At 43.7% G+C, this 22128-nt stretch overlaps 1 pseudogene, besides 1 other annotated feature; it reads left to right on the top strand.

Annotated features, from left to right (window-relative positions):
• Positions 948–1144: a silencer, noted in NCBI's record as "fragment chr6:30363628-30363824 (GRCh37/hg19 assembly coordinates)". NCBI's record gives its function as "represses an EF-1alpha promoter that drives an FKBP-Casp9 reporter gene in an ReSE screen in phorbol 12-myristate 13-acetate-treated (for megakaryocytic differentiation) K562 erythroleukemia cells {active_cell/tissue: K562(+PMA)}" and the evidence as "EXISTENCE:reporter gene assay evidence [ECO:0000049][PMID:32094911]".
• Positions 19808–21733, top strand: MICC (MHC class I polypeptide-related sequence C (pseudogene); annotated as a pseudogene).

Genomic DNA, 22128 nt, shown 5'->3' on the forward strand with positions numbered 1-22128 from the left:
GGTGCCCTAACTGTGGCTGACTGCCTCCCGCGGGGTCCCAACTTTATACCCAGAGGTAAGGACAGATGCTTCCAGCTCCATCTTATAACTTCCACATGAAATTTGAGGTCAGGAACTTCTCTTAACTCGTCTTAAAGGGCCTCATACTTACATTCTTGACTCGGAAAATAATTAAGTGTGCGTTTGAACATGTTTCCTCCGCAATTTACTCTCTGGAGGGGAATACATTGAAAACCCAGTTTATTTTCAGATACTGAGTGGGATTGAAAAGCTGAATTGTCTGTTTTCCTGCAGGGCACACAGAGGAACTGGCTGTCCCACACCACTCTGACATTTCCAGAGAAGCACCGTCCTCTTCCAGTAGGACATGAGTAAGACCAGTGAGGAGCCAACATGCAGCCCCTGGGCATCTCTGGGGTTGAAGGAAAGATATATATGTCCTTCTGATGTGTGGAGCCCTGAGGGCAGTGTTCAAGACCCTGCATTTTCCGAAGTACTTGTTTACTGAGCAAGTGTTTCTGCTTGTTGCATTATGTCAGGGGATATGGAAGCCACTTTTCATCCAGCCAAACACAGATGCAAATGAGATGTTCTGGGAGAAAGCAGAAAAAGCCCTTTTCACAGAGTTCCTTATTTTACTATTCTATTACACTTGTCTGAGGTTACAATCACATCCTTTTTTAACAATCTCTAAATGAGAAAATCATCAAAAGGGTATGTAGTGAGTGACAGACACAGGATAAATGCTGTAAGTCAGTGTTTGATGAAAGATACTGGTGTTCCAGGATGTCAGAGTCTCCTGGGTGCCAGTAGGGAGGTGGTCAGGGACTTTATCCAAGAAGCAGAAAGAAGAGCTTCAGGGACATGAGGATGTCTCATAGCCAAGGACAGGACAGTAAAGGGCCCCGTGTGAGTGCATCACAGAGGTCTGTTACTGTTCAGACCCCAAAGCTCAGCACCCAGTGTGGCATGTGGCAAGACCTCAGCAAACACATCAGTTGGCTGGATGAAGGAGGGCAGGTGTGAGCCGACAAGGAAAATCTTGTGATTTTTGTTGGGAAATGAATGTAAAAGTGTTGATGTACCTCCCTTGTAAGGAGATAGAAAGGTAGAGAGCAGACAGATGCATGCATGGATGAATGCATGGATGGATGGATGGTTGGATGGACGGATGGATGTTCATTTTCTGTGTGTGTTTCTATCTCTGTTCTGCCTTTCTGTTTTGTCTCTGGCTCTGTCTGTATCTGCCATTGTCCCTTCACAACCATGCCTTCACTATTATCAGTAACATCTTTTACCTGGTCTTATAGGATCTTGCCTGTGTTGTATTAGTGGTCAAGGACAGAAAAAAGAAAGAAGTCTGTGGAAAACAAAATAAAGGAAACAGATGCTTCTGACATGCGGCAGTGGAAGGATGTGTGGACCTGAGGCCCCCAGGGAGACAGGGGCTGCGCCTCACTGCAAAGTCGATCCTGCTGAACACAGAGGGGAAACGCGCTCAGACAGCCCTGCCCGTGCTGATCAGAAGGGAGGGTTGCGCCTCCAGATCCTTCTCCCTGTGTTTCTTCAGGGCCCAGCCCTGAGAGTTCCAGGGTCCCATTTTCTTAGTTAGGACCTTAAGACCCTATCAGAGTCCAGCCCCAGGAAGCCTGCAGTCATAGCACTGGGCTAGACCAAGTTGCTGCTATGAAAAGGGATTTGAAAATTCCCAGAGGAGCCTTTCAGCCTCTTTCCATGGCTCTTTATGCCCTTTCAAAGGCACAGCCAGAGACATCAGAAATGAAATTGTATATAATTATATGGACTTTTCGACAATCATTGAAATTTCTGTAAGTGCCAGTTATATTTTGGCAACCCCATCAAAGCCAGGTGTGCCCAGGGCAGTCAGCTCAGGCCCTGGCCTCTCATTCAGGTTGGATTCTATAAGAACCGCATTCGCGGTGAGAATTCTAGAGCCAGATCTTGCTGCTCCACAATTGCCTCACGTTGCAAGACAAGCAAATCTAGCCTGAGTCTGTGGATTCCAGGGCTGCTTAGGAGGAACCTGCATTCCCGCGTGGATGACCTCAGGCTCCGCCCCTTCTGCCCCACTCAGCCCTCACCCAGTGCCTGAGAGCGCTCAATCAGAATGCGAGAGCAGCGCGGCGGCGCCCCCGTGTGGCCACAGGGACGAGGACAGAGGACCGGACCCCGCTCCCCTTTCTCACCAACCAGGACCTCCGAGGCTCTCCCTCTGCTCCCAGCACCTGGACAGGGCTCTGCACTCAAGGAGCCTCCGGGTCTCAAGTCAGGCTCTGAGTCCATTCAGCTTCCCAAAATCCATGTTGACAATGACATTTCCTCTCACCACTGAGTGACTGGACTTTTGCCTCAGAGCAGAGAGAGGCCTCCAGGGCAAAACAGTGGGATCAGATGTGGGGATGACACACCCCCAAATCCTTGCTGCCACAGGACCCAGTCCCTCAGCCTCCAGATGGGGCCTTGGCCTCCCGTCCCCTCCTTTGTTCCTGCTGCTAGAGGCTGCTCATCCCAGGAATCAGCCTGTTAGCCTCCAACCCTGGGGTCCAGGGACAGCAGCTCCTAGTGCCTCGGTCCAGGAAGAAGGGAACCTCCAGAGAGCAGAAGAGAGAAGAAATGGACCATAAGAGAAGGGGGCAAGGGGGGAGAAAGAGAGTGAAAGGAGCCAGGGAGGAGAGAAAAATGGAAAACATCCTGTTAGGAATGTGTGTGTTTGTGTTGATGTGTGTGCGTGCAGGTGTGTGTAGAGTGGGAGAGAGTTTCTAGGGTTCTGAGGAGAAGAGAGCTGCTATACAGGTGCTAAGGGGCCCAGCCCTGGGAATTTCAGGGTCCCGCTTTCTGAGCTAGGATCTTAAGGCCCTATCAGAGTCCACCCCCAGGAAGCCTGCAGTCATAGCACTGGGCTAGCTGGACGGCTGCCTCTTCTTTGCCTTTGACAGCAGGAGCTGCCATGCCAGGCCCAGGGGCCCTGGGGTCATGGGCAGAGAGCAGGTCCCTCTGCTGGCAGCCAAGGAGATGTTGTTCTTGGAGGGTCAAAGACTCACTTAGCTGGGAGTCTGAAGGTGGTCATGGGTTACAAAGGGGTTACAAAGAGCTCAGCGGTGAGCCTGGCCCAAGCTTCTGACCCCTTTCTTTGGATCTCAAGGGCTGACCATGGATTCTCAATGGATCTCAAGAATTCGCCCATTTACCTCTTGCCCCAGACCCTCCCCACTTCGATACCCTGGGACCCAGGCATCTGCCTCTTTCCTTCTCCTCCGGCCTCCCAAGCACCTCCAGGCCCTGCTCTCTGCCAACCTGAACTCCAGGACCCTGCAGCCCCACCCCAAAATTGCTTGATAATACAGTGATTCTATTTTCAGTGTTTTGAAAACTCTGTATACTGTTTTTTACAGTTGCTGTACTAGTTTTACACACTGTGTGTAAGAGTGCCCTTTTCTCCACATCCTCACAAACATCTATTTGTTTGTTTGTTTTTTTTTGTCTTTTTAGTTGTACCCATTCTATCTGGGGGTAAGATGATATCTCATTGTGGTTTTGATTTGCATTTCCCTGATGATAAGTGATGTTGAGCATTTTTCATGTACCTGCTGGCCATTTGTATGTCTTCTTTTGAGAAATGTCTATTCATGTCGTTTGTCCACTTTTTAATAGAATTTTTTGGTTTTTTTAGCTCTTGAGTTCCTTACATATTCTGGATATTAGTCCCTTGTCAGATAAATTGTTTGAAAATATTTTCTCCCATTCAACAGGTTGTCTGTCTACTCTTTTGATGGTTTTCTTTGCTGCGCAGAAGCGTTTTAGTTTATTATAGTCCCATTTGTCTATTTTGTTTGGGTTGTCTGTGCTTCTGAAGTCTTAGCCATAAAATCGTTACCCAGACCAATGTCCTAGAATGTTTCTCATATGTTTGCTTCCAGTTGTTTTATAGTTTTGGGTCTTACGTCTAAGTATTTAATCCATCTTGAGTTGATATTTATATAGGGTGAGATATAGGGATCTAATTCCATTCTTCTGCATGTGGATATCCAATTTCCCCAGCACCATTTATTGAAGAGGGTGTCCTTTCCCCAAATGTATGTTCTTGGCACCTTTGTCAAGAATCAGTTGGCTGTAAATATATGGATTTATTTCCAGATTCTCTATTATGCTGCATTGATTGACATGTGTTTGTAGAGACGAGGTCTCAGTATGTTTCCCAGGCTGGTCTAGAACCTCTGGGCTCAAGTGGTTCACCCTCCTTGGCCTCCCAAAGTGCTGGGATTACAGGAGTGAGCCACAGTACCTGGCCTTTGTGCTGTGTTTTGATTCATCGTTATCTCCTAAGCCCTTTCCCAGCATTGATATTTTACTAAACACCCTATGATTAAATTATATCTCTACACCTTGAGATAAACAAAAAATTATATAAGCGGTAAAGACAAATATGAAAAAATAAAACTACTACCAATGTTATTAGGAGGATAACCTTAAAACATTTGAGCAAGAAAATTTTTCTTTTTTTCTTTTTTCTTTTTTTTTAGCTGTACCTGCTGGAATGGAAAATATTTCTTAAATGAGACAAATATATGAAAGTGAAAATGCTTAAACTTCAAAGGACTTACATTACATATATAGTCATTCTTTCTTAATGATAAGATAGGTTCTGAGAAATGTGTCCTTAGGTGATTTGGTCTTACGTGAACATCATAAAGTGTCCATACACAAAGCTAGATGATATAGCCTACTGCACACCTACGCTATATCATAAAGCCTATTGCTCCTAGGCTACAAACTTGGATAGCACATTACTATACTGAGTACTGTAGGCAATTGTAACACAATGGTAGGTATTTGTGGATCTAAACATATGTAAACAGAAAAAGTACAGTAAAAATATGGTAAAAAGATTTTTACAATGGCACACCTATATAGGTTACTCATCATGAATGGAGCTTACAGGACTGGAAGTTGCTCTGGGTGAGTCAGCAAGTGAGTGGTGAGTGAACTGAAGGCCTAGGCCATTACTGTGCACTACTGTAGATTTTATAAATGCTGTACACTTAGGTTACACTAAATTGATTTTAAAAATAATTTTCTTTCTTTAATAATAAATTAACCTTAGCTTAATGTAACTTTTTTAACTTTATAAACTTTAATTTTTAAAACTTTTCAGCTTTTGTAATAGCACTTAGCTTAAAAGACCAACATGTTACAAAGCTGTACAAAAATATTGTTCCTTATATTTTCATTCTAGAAACTTATTTCTATTTAATTTTTTTTTTACTTTTAAATCTTTTCTGTTAAAAAAAAAAGACATAAATTAGCCTAGGCTGACACAGGGTTAGGATCAACAATATCACTATCTTTAGCCTTTACATCTTGTCCCACTGGAAGATTTTCAGGTGTAATAACATGCATGGAGCTGCCATCTCCTATGATAACAATGCCTTCTTCTGGAATACCTCCTAAAGGACCTGGCCGAGGCTGTTTCAAGTTTTTTTAATAATTAGAAGGAGCACACTCTAAAATAACAATAAAAAGTATAGTAAATATGTAAACCAGTAACATAGTCATTTATTATCATTATCAAGGATTATGTATTGTACATAACTGTATGTGCTAGACTTTTATAGGATTGACAGTGCAGTAGGTTTGTTTACACCAGCATCACCACAAACATATCATTAATGCATTGTACTATGATGTACAGTGTCACCTACAATGTCACTACAGAGAAGAAACCCCCAAAATCTGCACTCCTAAGCTGCATATGCTTTAGGTGATACTCTAAGAAGCCCACCAGAGAACAGTTGCTTGGAGATTGCATGCTAAGTAGAAATGCCAAAGGCTTCAGAGTATGAGGAGATGTTGGAATTTTAGCCCAGCCAAACCTGGGTTGAGCCAACAGGGTGGTGAAGCACTATGAGTGAGGACCCTTGCCTTGGAGTAAGGACCGCACTGAACTAGACTCATGTTAACAAAGGCTAAAATCAAGCCTAAGCAGAATCAAAGTGGGTCTGATTTTTATGATAATTAATGAACCGTCAAGCAGTTAGCAGTCTTAGCAGGAAGATAGCAAAATCCAGAACCTCTGTAACACATCACCCAGAATATGTGGCATGCCAAGCAGCAGAAAAAATGCAACAAGTGGAGATAAAATAATCAACAGAAGCCGACTCAGATGATCTGGATACTGAAGCCAGCGAGCAAGGACATTCTTCAATATATTTATGATTAATATGTTAAGGATAATAGAGGAAATCATGGGCAAACTATTTCATAATCCCCAGAAAGATCAATCATACAAAGAGAGAAAACACGAATGAACACTGTGAGAAGGGACAACTTATAAAACCACAGATTTTATTAAAATGAAAATAAGAGAATATTAGACACAACTTCATGACAATACCTTTTAAAATTTAGGTGCAATGAAATGAGTTCTTGAAAAACACAGTTGAACAAAGCCAACAGAAAACTAAGTAGAAAATATAAATAGTCCTCTATCCATTAAGAAATTGAATTTTAATTAAATTCCTTCCCACCAGAAAAACTTCTTACCACATTTCCTCCCATCAATTCTTTCAAAAACTTAAAAAAGGAATGTCAGTCCTATATAGTCATCCCTTGGTATCCTTTTGGGCTGGGTTCTAGGACCCCTGTGGATACCAAAATCTGTGGATTCTCTGGTCCCATGTATAAAATGGCCTACTATATGCCTACTACCTATGCATATCATCCCATATACTTTAAATCATCTCTAGATTACTTACAATACCTAGTGCAATGTACATGATTGTAAACAGTAGTTATACTATATTGTTTAGGAAATAACGACAAGAAAATGTCTGTACATCTTCAGTACAGATGTAACCACTGTCAGTAGGCCTAACTACAGAGTACACAACAGCAGCAACATAACATTTCCAATCCTCAGGTAGTTGAATTCACAGATGTGGAACACACAGACATGGAGGACAGACTGTCTTATATTTTATATAATGAAGAGTGGCCAGGCGCGGTGGCTCATGCCTGTAATCCCAGCACTTTGGGAGGCCGAGATGGGCAGATCACCTGAGGTCAGGAGTTCAAGACCAGCCTGGCCAACATGGTGAAACCTCATCTCTACTAAAAATACAAAAAAATTAGCTGGGCGTGATGACAGGTGCCTGTAATCCCAGCTACTCAAGAGACTAAGGCAGGAGAATCGCTTGAACCTGATAATTGCTAGGCTTTGAGTAAAGTAGTTTGACCTTTATAATGTGACCCTCCCTAAACAAGATGGAACTCTGCAGCAGACATCCTGGGATTTGAACTGCAATATCAGTCAACTGACCCACAAAGAGCTGGTTGGTTTGTGTACAGCATTTGCAAGATGAGTGGACAACATCCTGTTTGGAAGTCTACCCCTTTGATCAAAGAAGTTAAAAACAGGACAGTTTTTTTTTTTTTTTTTGGTTGAATTGCATGATGTTTTCTGAGAAGTGATGAAAGAATTGAACAATGACAAAAGTCCCTATGTCTTAGTTTTTACTGACTTATGGGCATTGACTGATGGCCTGGCCATATAATTAAGAGAGCAATGGAAAACTGGCCTATGAAAAGAATACCCGTATAGGACACAGTCCTGTGGAAATCACTATGGTAATTTGAGGGGTGCATTAATGTAAGGCGTGTTGATGTCTGATATAAATTGGGTGTTGTCCCCACCCAAATCTCATGTTGAGATATAATCCCCAGTGTTGGAGGTGAGGCCTCAAGGGAGGTGATTGCATCATGGGGGTGGCTTCTCATGAATCGTTTAGTACCATTCCCTCAGAATAGTTCAATTAGTTCAATGCCCCTCAGAATAACCCTCCTCCAGGTTTGGAAGGTGATTGAAATCAACAAGCATTTATTTCTAAGTGATTTCCAGGTGTACCTGTATTTCCAGCTACAAGAAGAACTGAGGCAGAAGGATCTCTTGAGCCCAGGAGTCTTAGTTTTGCCTGAGCAACTTTTGAGTCCAGGGAAAAATATCAATACCACATCTCAAAAAAATCCACGTTTGCTTGTGGTGATCACCTGGGTCCGTGAAATAAGTAGACACTGAGGGCTGCAGCAATGCAGAGATAGGCTGAATCAAGATATATTCCTTTTACATCCTCCAACTCACAGGCACGAAATACCCATAAGGACTGTTCTGTTTAAGAAGAGACAGAGACAGCATATGGCTATGTAGCAAATTCTCTCATGGGAAGGTCTTGAAAATAGATAGCTGGCAAATTAGACTGATACCAGTACCCCTAGGAGGCAGCAAATGGGTCTTGGCAGGAATAGATACTGACCCTGGAGTAAGCATTGCTTAGCTGGTGGTAGATGTGTTATCAAACTGAACTGGGGCCCACTCACCTGGTGCAATAAAGGCAAACATCCACACTGAGATTTTGTAGTGGGAGAAAGGAAGGCGTTTATTTGCAAGGCACCAAGCAAGGAGAATCGGGCAGCTCACACTTAAGACCTAACCTCCCCAATGGCTTACAAGCAAGAGTTTTTAAGGCAGGAGTAAATTTCAGCAAAGCCGAGTTGCAGGCAACATCAAAAATCAATGCATAGAAATTACACACTGGTTTGGCCTAAAAAGGTGGGATATCCTGATGAGGGATCGTACAGGTCATAGGTGGATTGAAAGATTCTCTGATTTGTGATTGGATAAGGAGCCAAAGCTTTGTCTACACACTTAGGGGCAGTAGGGAGGAATGTTCAGGTCTGCTCTGTGGACCTGACTCTTTCCAGGCCCCTCAGGAAAAAATTTAGAACAAAGAGTCACAGTCAGCATTGAGTCCTCATTTTCCCCTTATCTGAGGTCTCCCTATCAGTGGCTCTGTTTGGTGAGAGTCTGGGTTCCTGAAAAACTACTCAAGGACATATGTTAAGATGTTCTCTTTAGTTTCTATAGAGAATCAAACATCTTGGGACTCTAACTTCCTTGGCTATTGTTTAAGCTATTTTTACCTGCTTGCTTATAAGGTCACTCACTTGCTTTTCAGGGCTGGCTAGGTGCCTGGAATTTCTCTTGAAGGAACTCAACATTTTCCTTTATTTCCATGTTAGGGAGGTCTAGCAGGCTTCTAAGATAAATCCGTACTTCATCTCAGATGCAAATGCTTAGAGCACTATAATAGAACCTGGACGGGAGATATTGCAACCATTTGCATCACTGAGTCACATTTCTTCACACCAGGAAACACATTTGCCCAAAATGTCCAACAATGTTCAGAAAAATATTTTGCTCAGAGGAATAGTTTCATAGAGAATAAAAATAGTCAAATGACACATTACTTGTATAAAGCAGGAGTGGGGAGACATAAGCATGAAGGGCGGGCTTACACACGTTCATGAGTGGGCTCACACCAGACATGAGTGTGGAAAAAGGAGTGTCCCCACTAGAGAGTATCCTCTTTTTTCCTGCTGGATCAGGGAAAGGTGCTAGTATGACCTGACATACGATTTTTCCCATGACAAGAGGACACTGGAATGATGACTAGACTTCACCTCAACTCGCCTTTCTCATACCTGATTCAGTGGTCTTAGGACAAGGGATGCATATAAAAGTGCCAAAACAGGAATTATTCCTAAGCAAGAAAGTGTAAATATATTTTAAAACCATTATGCAAGAATTCCTCAGGGCCTGGAGGAGTAGGTTGTGCCTTCACTGCATCTGGCAAAGTTGGGGCTAACACTGAATGCAGCTATATTGCCTGGGGTCAGATAGCCAACTAGTTCTCTACCTGCATAACCCTACCCTCTATGAACTGGAATGGACCAACGAGAGACACTTGCTAGAACAGTATTGCTCCCTTCAGTCTAGGCCAGCACAGTAGCAGAACTTAATGTTTCTTCCAAAACTGTTAATGTTTGGTATAAATGAAGTAGAAGGAGGAATAGTAGCTGAGGGTAAATGAATGAATAAATGGGTTGTGTAATGAGGAAAATCCAATGTTACATGAACTCCCAAAAAAAAGAGGTATAAGCAAGAGATGATATTGTCTCTTGACAATGATGGTGCACCCCGTCTCCATGGGGACAGAGGGTCGTGTGCTCAGAGTGCTTCCAGATGTCGCCTCCTGCACTTCATCTGCCTGCTCATTTGTATCCTTTACAACTGCTATTGTTTGAATGTTTCCCCAGAAAAGCGTCTGTTGGAAACTTAATCCCCAGTGCAACAATGTTAAGAGATGGGACCTTTGAGAGGTGATTGGACCATCAGAGCTCTGCCTTCATTAATGAACTGATCAAGGCTGCCCTCATTAATGCTGATCATAAAGGACCTGAGCCTGTGAGTTCGACCTCTTACTCCCTCTAGCTCTCACCCTCTCTTGCGCTTCTCCCTTCTGCCAGATACATTCCCTTGATTTTGGAATTCCCATCCTCGACAACCATGAGCCAATTAAATTTGTGTTCATTGTAAGTTATCCAGTCTCAGGTGTTCTGTTATAGTGGCATAATTTAAACCAGGGGTCCCTAACTCCCCTGCAGTGGACCGGTACAGGTTTGTGGCCTGTTGGGAACCAGACCGCACAGCAGGAGGTGAAGGGTGGGCGAGAAAGCATGAGCATGACCGCCTGAGCTCCGCCTCTGGTCAGATCAGTGGTGGCATTAGATTCTCATGGGAGCACGAACCCTATTGTAAACTGTGCATGCGAGGGATTTAGGCTGCACGCTCCTTTATAAGACTCCAGTGCCTGATCATCTGAGGTGGAACAGTTTCATCCCGAAACCCATCCCCGCCTACCTGTGCCGCCTGCCCTGGTCAGTGGAAAAGTTTTATTCCATGAAACCAGTACTTGGTGCCAAATATGTTGAGGTAAGCTATGATTACCGCTGATTTAAGCTATGACAATAATAAACTGCAATACTGAGTGTGAAAGAAAGATAAAATCTTGGGACCCCAAACTCACAGTGCCAAAGGGAAAAGTTAAGTTTGGGAACTGAGTCATGGAAAAACTGCCTTTCTTTTGTTCCTAAACAAATACCTGCAAAGATAGAGGACCACATATCTCCCCAAGTGGCCTCCCTCACAATCTGCTCACAATGTAATTCCTTGTGGGCCCCAACATCTTTACCCTAAAACAGAGTTTTGTTGACTTTTCCCCTGACAATGTAAAGTAACAGCTTATCTTCACAGGTACAGGACAAAGACAAGACTAGAAATCATCCCTTCACCCACCCGGAGACAAACACATATTTTACTACTCTATGTTTACTTTAGCTTATGTAAAATTCAGATTTACTGAGCACAAGATGAATGCATAGTTGACTGTTTTTCCCCTTCTGCCTGCTCTTTCCCCTGTAAGTACTGAAGTCCTCAAAACCCTTTTAGGAAAAAGCGTGGGCCACAGATGCTAGTGATTTTTGTCTCTTTTTCCAAGGTGCATCTTGGAATGGGAGACTGGAGGGACCCATGGATCCCAACCCTGGACCTGGTTCCCCCAGTACAATCCATGAGCCAGTTGAATCTGAATGCGAAGATGGAACGACGACTGACCAGAGTCATGCTGACATCAACCCCCATAACATGGGGACTGATCAAGAAAACCACACAGGAAGCTGAGAAACTGCTGGAGTGCCAGGGTGTCACCTTTTGCTGGAACTCAGAAGTACAATCGATGTTTAACGGACCAGTGCTTTCTGACTCAGCTCCTCTCTACCCTGAATACAAGAGACCCTAATAGTTAGGCAGGAATATCATCGCCCTTATTCTGCATGAAGAAGTTGCAGAAGACAGACCTTCATCCTTCTGCAACCCTTAGGATTAAGCGTCCTCTTGTAAAAAGGGAAGGGGGAGATATGTAAGAAGCATTCAAACCACAGCAACTCTATTTTGAATAAGGGCTAAGAAAAATGAAGCTGGATCACCAACCGGCAATTAAGAGCTGCACAGCCTGCAATTACCTTGCTCAATTAATTTTAAAACAAAAAGGAGTAGATGTTGGAGGCCGCACGAATGTTTCTTATGATTTGCCACAATTGAAGCCTGCCAGTAACAATATGAACCTGTGATCAATTAAGCAGCTGACCAATCATTACCTCCTCCTCCTTGCCCTTATTACCCAGTAAATATGAAGGGCTAAGAAGCTCGGGCGGCGGCCTTTGCTCACTAGAAGCAGGGAGCTCTTTTCTTCTCGTCTCTCTTCTTCTTCCCCATGCTAGCCTTTCCTTAAAATGATGTAGGGTATCTGGCAGATAAAATTTCTAAGCAGCAAAGCATTCAAAGAGTGACTTGGGTGCTCCTAAAAGCATTCCATTTTCAAAGGGAAACAGAGCATAAAAGTTCAGAAAATTTACAGCCTGACAATGCAGTAGAAAAGAAAAACCCATTTTTTGAGGAGAAACTCAAGCTGGCTGCAGAAATTTGCATAAGTAACAACAAGCCAAGTGTTGATCCCCAAGACAAGGGGGAAAATGTCTCCAGGGCATGCCATAGGTCTTCATGGCAGCCCCTCTCATCACAGACCCAGAAGCATAGGAGGAAAAAATGGTTTCATGGGCAGGGCCCAGGGTCCCCATGCTATGTACAGCCTAGGGACTTGGTGCCCTGCATCCCAGATGCTCCCACTGTTGCTAAAAGGGGCCAAGGTACAGCTTGGTCTATGGCTCCAGAGGGTGCAAGCTTTAAGCCTTGACAGCTTCCATGTGGTTTTGAGCCTGCAGGTGCACAGAAGTCAAGAATGGAGGTTTGGGAACCTCCACCTAGATTTCAGAAGATGTATGGAAATGCTAGGATGCCCAGGCAAAAGTTTGCTGCAGGGGCAGGGCCCTCATGGAGAACCTCTGCTAGGGCAATGTGGAAGGGAAACGTGGGGCTGGAGCCCCCACACAGAGTCCCTACTGGGGCACTGCCTAGTGGAGCTGTAAGAAGAGGGCCACCGTGTTCCAGACCCCAAAATGGTAGATCCACCAACAGTTTGCACTGTGCATCTGGAAAAGTCACAGACACTCAGCGCCAGACTGTGAAAGCAGCCAGGAGGGAACATATACCCTGCAAAGCCACAGGGGCAGAGCTGCCCAAGATATGGGGACCTACCTCTTGCATCAGCATGACCTGGATGTGAGACATGGAGTCAAAGGAGATCATCTTGGGGCTTTAGAATTTGACTGCCCCACTGGATTTAGGACTTGCATGGGCCCTGTAACTCCTTTGTTTTGGCCAATTTCTCCCATTTGGAATGGCTGTATTTACCCAATACCTGTACCCCCATTGTATCTCGTAAGTAACTAGCTTGGTTTTGATTTTACAGGTTAATAGGTGGGAGGGACTTGCCTTGTCTCAGATGAGACTTTGGACTGTGGATTTCTGGGTTAATGCTGAAATGAGGAAAGACTTTGGGGGATTGTTGGGAAGGCATGATTGGTTTTGAAATGTGAGGACATGAGATTTGGAGGGGCCAGGGGTGGAATGATATGGTTTGGCTCTGTGTCCCCACCCAAATCTCATCTTGAATTATACTCCCATAATTCTTACATGTTGTAGGAGGGACCCAGTGGGAGATAATATGAATCATGGAGGCAGTTTCCCCCATACTGTTCTTGTGGTATTGAATAAGGCTCACAAGACCTGACGATTTTATCAGGGGTTTCCGCTTTTGTATCTTACTCATTTTCTCTTGCCACTGCTACGTAAAAAAAAAATTCACCTCCTGCCATGATTCTGAGACCATCGAGCCATGTGGAATTGTAAGTCCAATTAAACTTCTTTTTCTTCCCAGTCTTGAGTATGTGTTTATCAGCAGTGTGAAAACGGACTAATATAGCTGGCTTCGTAGACTGAATTGAAAAAAACTGCCTACTTTAATTTCTAAAAGGTATGTGTAAAATTGATGTAATTTCTAAATTATATGTTTGATACAATTCATCAGTGAAGCCTTCTGGACCTAGACTTTCCTATATTAGAAGGATTTTGATTACAAATTCAATTTCTACAATCAATATATGGCTGACCACATTTTCTATCTCTTCTCAGGTCAGTTTTCATAAGTTTTCCCTCTCAAGGAAATTGTTCATTTCATTTGCTTGTCAAACTTATTGACATGAGATTATCAATATTTCTTTTTGAGATCTAGAGTGTGTACTGATGTTCTCTCTTTTATTGCTGACCTTGTTAATGTGTATGTTTTTGTCTTGATCAGTCTGGCTAGAAATTTATAAGGTGTACGATTTTTCCCTATAGAACCAATATTTGGATTCATTAATTTTCTCTTTCTGCTTCAGTTTTTTATTTTATTATTATTTCCTTCCTTCTGCATGCATTGGTTTAATTTGTTCTTCTTTGCTTCTTACAGGAGAAACTAATTTACTAATTTGAGACCTACCTTCTTTCTTAATATAGGCATTTAAGGATATCAGTTTTTTCTTCAGTACTGCTTGTTGGGAACAAATGCTCAGTGTTGTAAAGAAAGATCAGCACTGAGACAAAGGATCTCTCAGCAAGGCAATTGACTTCTGCAGAAAGGATGCTACTTATGATGGAACGATGGCGAGTGCACACCTGAACAAAGGAGAGCAGGGGTTTTTTATAATCTCTTAATGCAGCTTGTCCCTGTAACTGTGTCTTGTCTCCATTGGCTGGAGCTGGACTGCACAATCTAAGCTGAACCTGGCTGGCTAACTTGAAAAGTGCAGGAATGTGGTTATACCAACAGAGAGTGCAGTCTTGGCGGGAGGAGCTGTTGCAACAGGAGGGTTAATCTATAGAGTGGGTAGCAGATGTGGGATGTGGTCTCCATAGATAAGGACTGGCGGGAAATTTGTTTACCAGGGCAGGGGATACAGAGCGTAAGGAAGTCTGGCCTTGAAAGCAGGGAACAAAGAGCCAGGATGCTGAGCAAGTTAACCCTTAAAGAGGAACTCTTTTTATATCTAACACTACTTCAACTGCATCCCATACATTTGATATGTTGTGCTTCAGTATTCTTCAGAAAACAGAAGACTTTCTAATTTCTCCTGTGATTTCCTCTTTGAATAAGTTGTTATTCAGAATTTTGATGTTTAATTTCCAATCCTTGGTATTTTCATGATCGTCCGTCTTAGTCAATCTGGGCAGTTATAAAAGAATTCCATAGTCTATGTGGCTTGCATACAACAGAAATCTATTTCTCACAGTTCCGGAGGCTGGGAAGTCAAAGATCAAGGCCTGGGAAGAGTCAGTGTATGGTGAGGGCTGCTTCCTGATTCATGGATGTTGCCTTTTCTTGGTGTCCCCACGTGGTGGAAGGAGCAAGCAATCTGGGGTCCCTTTTATAAGGGCATTCATTTTATTAATGAGGGTTTTGCCTTCACTGCATGATCACTTTCTAATGGCACAACCTCCAAACACCATCACATTAGAGATTAGGTTTCAATTATGAGTTTAAGGATGACAAAAGCATTCAGTCCCACAAGATCATCTTATTGTTACAGATTTCTAATGTATTTCCATTATGGCCAGAAAATATATTCTGTATGATTTCAATGTTTTCAAATTTATTGTTTTATGGCCTGAAATATGGTTTCTCCTGGTAAATGTATCATTCATACTTCAGATAATTTGTGTTTTTCATTGATGTGCATATGCATATAAATAAATTAAGTCTGGGTGCTTGATAATGCTTTTCAATTTTCTATGTCTTTGCTAAATTTTTCTTAGTTTTTGTATTTATAGCTGAAAGAAAGCTTTAAAATGTCTAACCATGTTTGTAGAATTCTCTACTTCTCTCTGTAATTTTGTCAATTTTTCTTCATGAACTCTAAAGATTTGCTATTGGATCCATTTCTGGTTGCATGTCTTTCTGTTGATTTTACCCTTTTGTTATTATGAAGCGCCTCTTTTTCTCTCTGGTAATACATATTATTTGAAAATCTTTTACTGGTAGTAAAATAACCATTTCAATCCTCTGTGCTTAATGTTTGTATGGCATTGCTTTTTTCATCAATTTTTATTTATCTGTGCCTTCATATTGAAATTGCATGTTTTGCATGCAGATGTATGTTCATTGCAGCACTTGTCACAATAGAAAAGACATGGAATCAACCTAAATGCCCATCAATGGTGAACTGGATAAAGAAAATGTGGCACATATGCACCATGGAACATTATGCAGCCATAAAAAAGAACGAGATCATGTACTTTGCAGGAACATGGATGGAGCTAGAGGCCATTATCCTTTGCTAACTAATGCAGAAAAAGAAAACCAATTGCCACATGTTCTCACTTATGAGTGGGAGCTAAATGATGAGAACATATGGACATATAGAAGGGAACAACACACACCGGGGCCTACTTGAAGGCAACGGGTGGAAGGAGGGAGAGGATCAAGAAAAATAATGAATGGGTGCTAGGCTTAATACCTGGGTGGGTACTAATAGGTACAGAAACTATATGACTGTGGGCAGCAAGCCACCCAGGTGCCGAGGCAAGAGACTGAAGGCACAAGCTCTTCCAGTATAATAAAGAAAATACTTAAAATAAAAATAGTTGTATTAGACATAAAATATAGATATGGTTATGTATAAATATTACTAATCATTAGTTTATGACATTACTCTTTATTCCAATATTATAATAATCTTTGTTCTACAATTATAACCTAGAAAAAACCAGGCCATACAGAGATAGGAGCTGAAGGGACACGGTGAGAAGTGAACAGAAGACAAGAGTGTGAGCCCTCTGTCATGCCTGGACAGGGCCACTAGAGGGCTCCTTGGTCTGGCGGTAACGCCAGTGCCTGAGAAGGCACCCATCACTCAGCAGATCGGGAAAGGGAGTCTCCCTTTGCCCGGGGGAGTTAGAGAAGCCTCTGCTCCACCACCTCTTGTGGAAGGCCCGACATCAGTCAAGCCCGCCCACAGCCATCTGGAGGACTAAACGTCTCCCTGTGATGCTGTGCTTCAGTGGTCACGCTCCTGTTTGACTCTCATGTTCCACCCTCTACACCTGGCTCAGCCTTCTAAATAGCAGTAGCAAAAATTAGTGAAAGTACTAAAGTCTTTGAAATACATAGAAGAAATAATGACATAAACTGTCCCCTCTCTCTCTCCGCCTCGGCTACCGAACAGGGAAGGGCCCCCTGTCTGGTGGACACGTGACTCACGTGACCTTACCTATCATTGGAGATGGCTCACACTCCTTACCCTGCCCCCTTGTCTTGTATCCAATAAATAACAGCGCAGCCTGGCATTCGAGGCCACTATCAGTCTCCGTGCCTTGGTGGTAGTGGTCCCCTGGGCCCAACTCTCTTTTCTTCTCTTTGTCTTGTGTCTTTATTTCTACACTCTCTCATCTCCACACACAAAGAGAAAAACCCACAGGTCCTGTAGGGCTGGAGCCTACATATGACAAACTCTCATGATACAAATTTACCTATACAAAAACCTGCACATGTACCCTGAACTAAAAATAAAAGTTAAATTAAAAAAAATAAAGTTCATGTCTTGAAAAGAGCATATGGTTGGGTTATTTTTTTTAATCCAGTCACAGAATCTCTGCCCTTAATTGGAGTGCTGATTTATGTAGGTTTTTGTCATTATTGATATGATAGGTTTTAGGTTTGTCATGTTATTTGCTCAGTTTTTCTTTCTCTGTTTCTCTTTTCCTGACCAATGATTTCTCATCAGAAACCAGAGAAACAAAATAAACTAGAATAACATCTTTAAAGTTCTGGAAGAAATAAAAGGTCAACTAAGAATTCTATATCCAGTACAGATGTCCTTCAAGATAAATGCAAAATAAGGAGATATTTCAGGTAAAAGATAATTAAGAGAATTTGTCACCAGCAGATCTGTACGATAAAAATTGGTAAAGAAAGTGTCTCAGGCTAAAAGCAAATGATACCAGGTGGAAAATGAGATTATCAGAAAAGATGAAGAATGTGAGAAGTGGTAAATATTAAGTGCGAAAGGCTATCTTGCTCCCCCACCCCCATTTAATCTTACTTCATATACATAGAACTGTTTAAAGGTAAAATAAGATAGCTTTCTGATGGGGCTTATAACCTATGTAAATATATTACATATAATATCTATGGCATAAAAGATGGACGTTTTATAGAGGATAAATGGTTGCAAGATTTCTATATTTATGTGAACTAGTACATTATTAACTGAAAGTGGGCTGTGAAATGTTAAGAATGAGTTAAGTTCTGAAGGAAATCAAGACACAAAAAAATTCAATAGATCAACAAATTCAGGAGATGATTTTTGAAAAAGTTAATAGGATAGATAGGCTGATAGCTAGACTAATAAGGAAGAAAAGAGAGGCGATCCCAATAAGCATAATTAGAAATGACAAAACAGATGTTACCACTGACTCTGCAGAAGTAAAAATAACCATCAAAAGCTACTATGAACACCTGTATGCACACAAACTAGAAAACCTACAAGAGATCGATAAATTCTTGGAAACATACACCCTCCCAGGAAGAAATTGATTCCTTGAAAGGACCAATAATGAGCTCCAAAATTAAATCTGTAATAAATAGCCTACTAACCAAAAAAAGCCCTGAACCTGATGGATTCACAGCTGAATTCTACCAGATGGACGAAGAAGAGCTGGTACCATTCCTACTGAAACTATTCCAAAAAATTGTAAAGGAGGAACTCCTCCCCAACTCATTCTATGAGGCCAGCATCATCCTGATACCAAAACCTGGCAGAGACAAAACAAAAAAAGAAAACTTCAGGTCAATATGTTTGATGAACATTGATGTAATAATCCTCAACAAGGTACTTGCAAACCAAATCCAGCAGTCCATCAAAAAGCTAATCTCAATGATCAAGTAGGCTTCATATCCAGGATGCAAGATTGGTTCAACACGTGCAAATCAATAAATGTGATTCATCACATACATAGAACTAAAGACAGAAACCACATGATTATCTTAATAGATCCAGAAAAACCTTTTGATAAAATTCAACATTCCTTTATGTTAAAAACGCTCAATAAACTAGGTATTGCAGGAACATACCTCAAAATAATAAGAGCCATCTATGACAAACAAACAGCCAACATCATACCAAATGGGGGAAGCATTCCCCTTGAAACCCAGCACAAGACAAAGATGCCTTCTCTCACCACTCCTATTCAACAGAGTATTGGAAGTCCTGGCCACAGCAATAAGGCAAGAGAAAGAAATAAGGGCATAGGGGAAGTCAGACTACCCCTGTTTGCAGACCATTACCAGTGAATGTTCCCTTAAGGCTCACAGGCTCTTATATCAGCTTGTGGTGAGTGCTGCTAACTAGTCTTTAATGGATTAAAATGTATAATGTGTTTCACTTGTGTATTAGTATGTTTTCACACTGCTGGTAAAGACATACCTGAGACTGGGCAATTTACAAAAGAAAGAGGTTTAACGGACTTAATGGTTCCACATGGCTGGGGAGGCCTCACAATCACGGTGGAAGGCAAGGAGGAGCAAGTCACATCTTGTGTGGATGGCAGCAGGCAAGAAGAGAGAGCTCGTGCAGGAAAACTCCCATTTTTTTAAAACCATTAGATCTCATGAGACTCATTCGCTATCACAAGAACAGTGCAGGAAAGACCCATCCAAAAATTCAATCACCTCCCACTAGGTTCCTCCCATGACAGGTGGGAATTGTGGGAGTTACAACTGAAGATGTGATTTGGGTGGGAACACAGCCAAACCATATCAACTTGTAAATTACTACAAAACTGTCAACACTTAGCCACTTCTGCTTCCTCAGGAAGGTCGGGGCAGCAGATCTGTGTGTTAAATATCTATGTGAAGTTATTTCCAGGAAGAAGTTTCATCTGTGGTTTCTTCTTCCCCAGGTCCCACAGTCTTCATTACAACCTCACGGTGCTGTCCCAGGATGGATTTGTATAGTCAGGGTTTCTCGCTGAGGGACATCTGGATGGTCAGCCGTTCCTGCTCTATGACAGACAGAAAGGCAGGGCAGGGGCCCTGTGGACAGTTGGCAGAAGCAGTCCTGGGAGCTGAGACCTGGGACACAGAGACCGAGGACTTGACAGAGAATGGGCAGGACCTCAGGAGGACCCTGACTCATATCAAGGGCCAGAAAGGAGGTGAGAGTCGGCAGGGGCAAGAGTAATGGCAGAGGCCTTCTCCAGGAGAGTTGGAGGCAGAGAGCAGGGACCTGTCTCTTCCCACTGGATCTGGCTGAGGGTGGGCTGAGAAATAGGGGTCAGTGGGGCTCAGCAGGGAGGTGAGCCGGCACTCAGCCCACACAGGGAGACATGGAGGAGGGCCAGGGAGGGGTCCCAGCTGGGCTGAGTTCCTCACTTGGGTGGGAAGATGAGGGGTTCAGGAATGAACTGCTGGGTGGGGGCAGGCTTGCATTCCCTCCAGGAGATTAGGGTCTGTGAGATCCATGAAGACAGCAGCACCAGAGGCTCCCGGCATTTCTACTATGATGGGGAGCTCTTCCTCTCCCAAAACCTGGAGACTCAGGAATGGACAGTGCCCCAGTCCTCCAGAGCTCAGACCTTAGCTATGAATATCAGAAATTTCTGGGATGAAGATGCCACACAGGCCAAGACACTTTCACCCTGTGATGGCAGACCGTCTGCAGAAACTACAGTAACATCTCGAATCCTAGGAGGGCATCAGGAGAACAGGTACCGACCCTGGGCAGGGGCTTTCCTCTCCCCCATTTCACTAGAGTCACTCCCCTGCCAGCTCTGTCCTGGGAAACCCTCTCTGTGCTATGGATGCAGGCGTTTCCTGTTGGCGTATTGTGTCCTGACTTTCCTCTCTTGTTAGAGCCACTGGATAAAGACAGTGGGTTGGGGACTGAACCATCCAGTGTTGTAATCTGGGAAAGCAATGGCCCACTCCCAACAGAATCCTCACCCTGGGGTGGGTGTTAGGCAGGAGAGGAAGCCCTCAGGGCTAGGGCTGCCCCCTCTGCCTCCCAGCCTGCCCATCCCAGAGAGTTCCCTCCTGGCCTCATGACCCAGGAGTCCAATCCTGACATCCCTCCCCTTCAGCATCAATGTGGGGATCTCAGAGCCTGAGGCCATAGTCTGAGGCCCATCCTCCTGCCAGCCCAAAGGAATTGGGCCCCAGGGTAAGGACAGACTTGCAAAAGATCCGGGGTCCATGAGGGCTTCAGCCAGAGTGAGAACACTGGAGAGGAGCAGCCCTGTTCCCTGAGTCTCCCTTAGAGGGAGCGGGGCTTGGCCATGTGCCTCACTGGCTCTGCCCTTTCCTATCCAGTGCCTACCATGGTGAATGCCAGGCCTCAGAGAACAAAGTCACCCCCACATGCTGGGCTTCCGGCTTCTATCCCCAGAATATCTCTCTGGCCTGGTGTCAGGTTGGGGCATTTTCTGAGCCAGGATGCCCATCGGTCTGTGGGTGTCCTGCCCAATGGGAATGGGACCTACCAGACCTGGGTGGCCACTAAGATTCCCCAAGAAGAGGAGCAGAGGGCTACCTGCTATGTGGGACACAGCAGGAATCACAGCACTTACCCTGGTGTCCTCTGGTGAGCCTGGGGCGACCCTCAAGTGTTCTGACCTAGAAAGGGTCAGGCCAAGGTGGGCACAGCAGAGATAACTGGAACTCTGAGTGCCCAGTGTGCAACAAGGCCCTTTTTTTCAGGGAAAGCCCTGATGCTTCAGAGTCTATGGCAACCGTTCCGTATGTTGCGGCTGCTGCTGTTTTTGTTATCATTATTATTATTCTCTGTGTCCTTTGGTGCAAGAAGAAAATATCAGCTGCAGAGGACCCAGGTGAAAAAAGGGGGCAGTGGCTGGAGATGGGAGGGACCCTGTCTGGGCAGTAGGGTCCCCTCATAGCTCCTGCACAGACAGGCATGTAGGTGACAGGGCTTTGGAACAGGGTTTGGAAGTTGGGGTATTTGGGAGGGGAATAGGAGCTACAATTTCATCTAGACCCCTAAGTCCTGCCCAAGCCAGGGCCGGGCCAAAGCCCTCGAATGTCCATCTGTGGCCTCCTCTTGCTGCAGGTGAGGAGTGGGCAGCAAGGAGGGCCGTGGCACCTGCTCTGTCCTCATCCCCATCCCTCTGTCTCTCAGGCTCACCAGCGTGCATCAGCGTGGGGTGAGCTGGGAATCATGTGCTGATTGCTGAGGGCCTGGATGATGATGGCTTCAGAGGGGGCAAAT

This window comes from Homo sapiens, chromosome 6 (assembly GCF_000001405.40).
Source record: "Homo sapiens chromosome 6, GRCh38.p14 Primary Assembly".
NCBI lineage: Eukaryota > Metazoa > Chordata > Mammalia > Primates > Hominidae > Homo > Homo sapiens.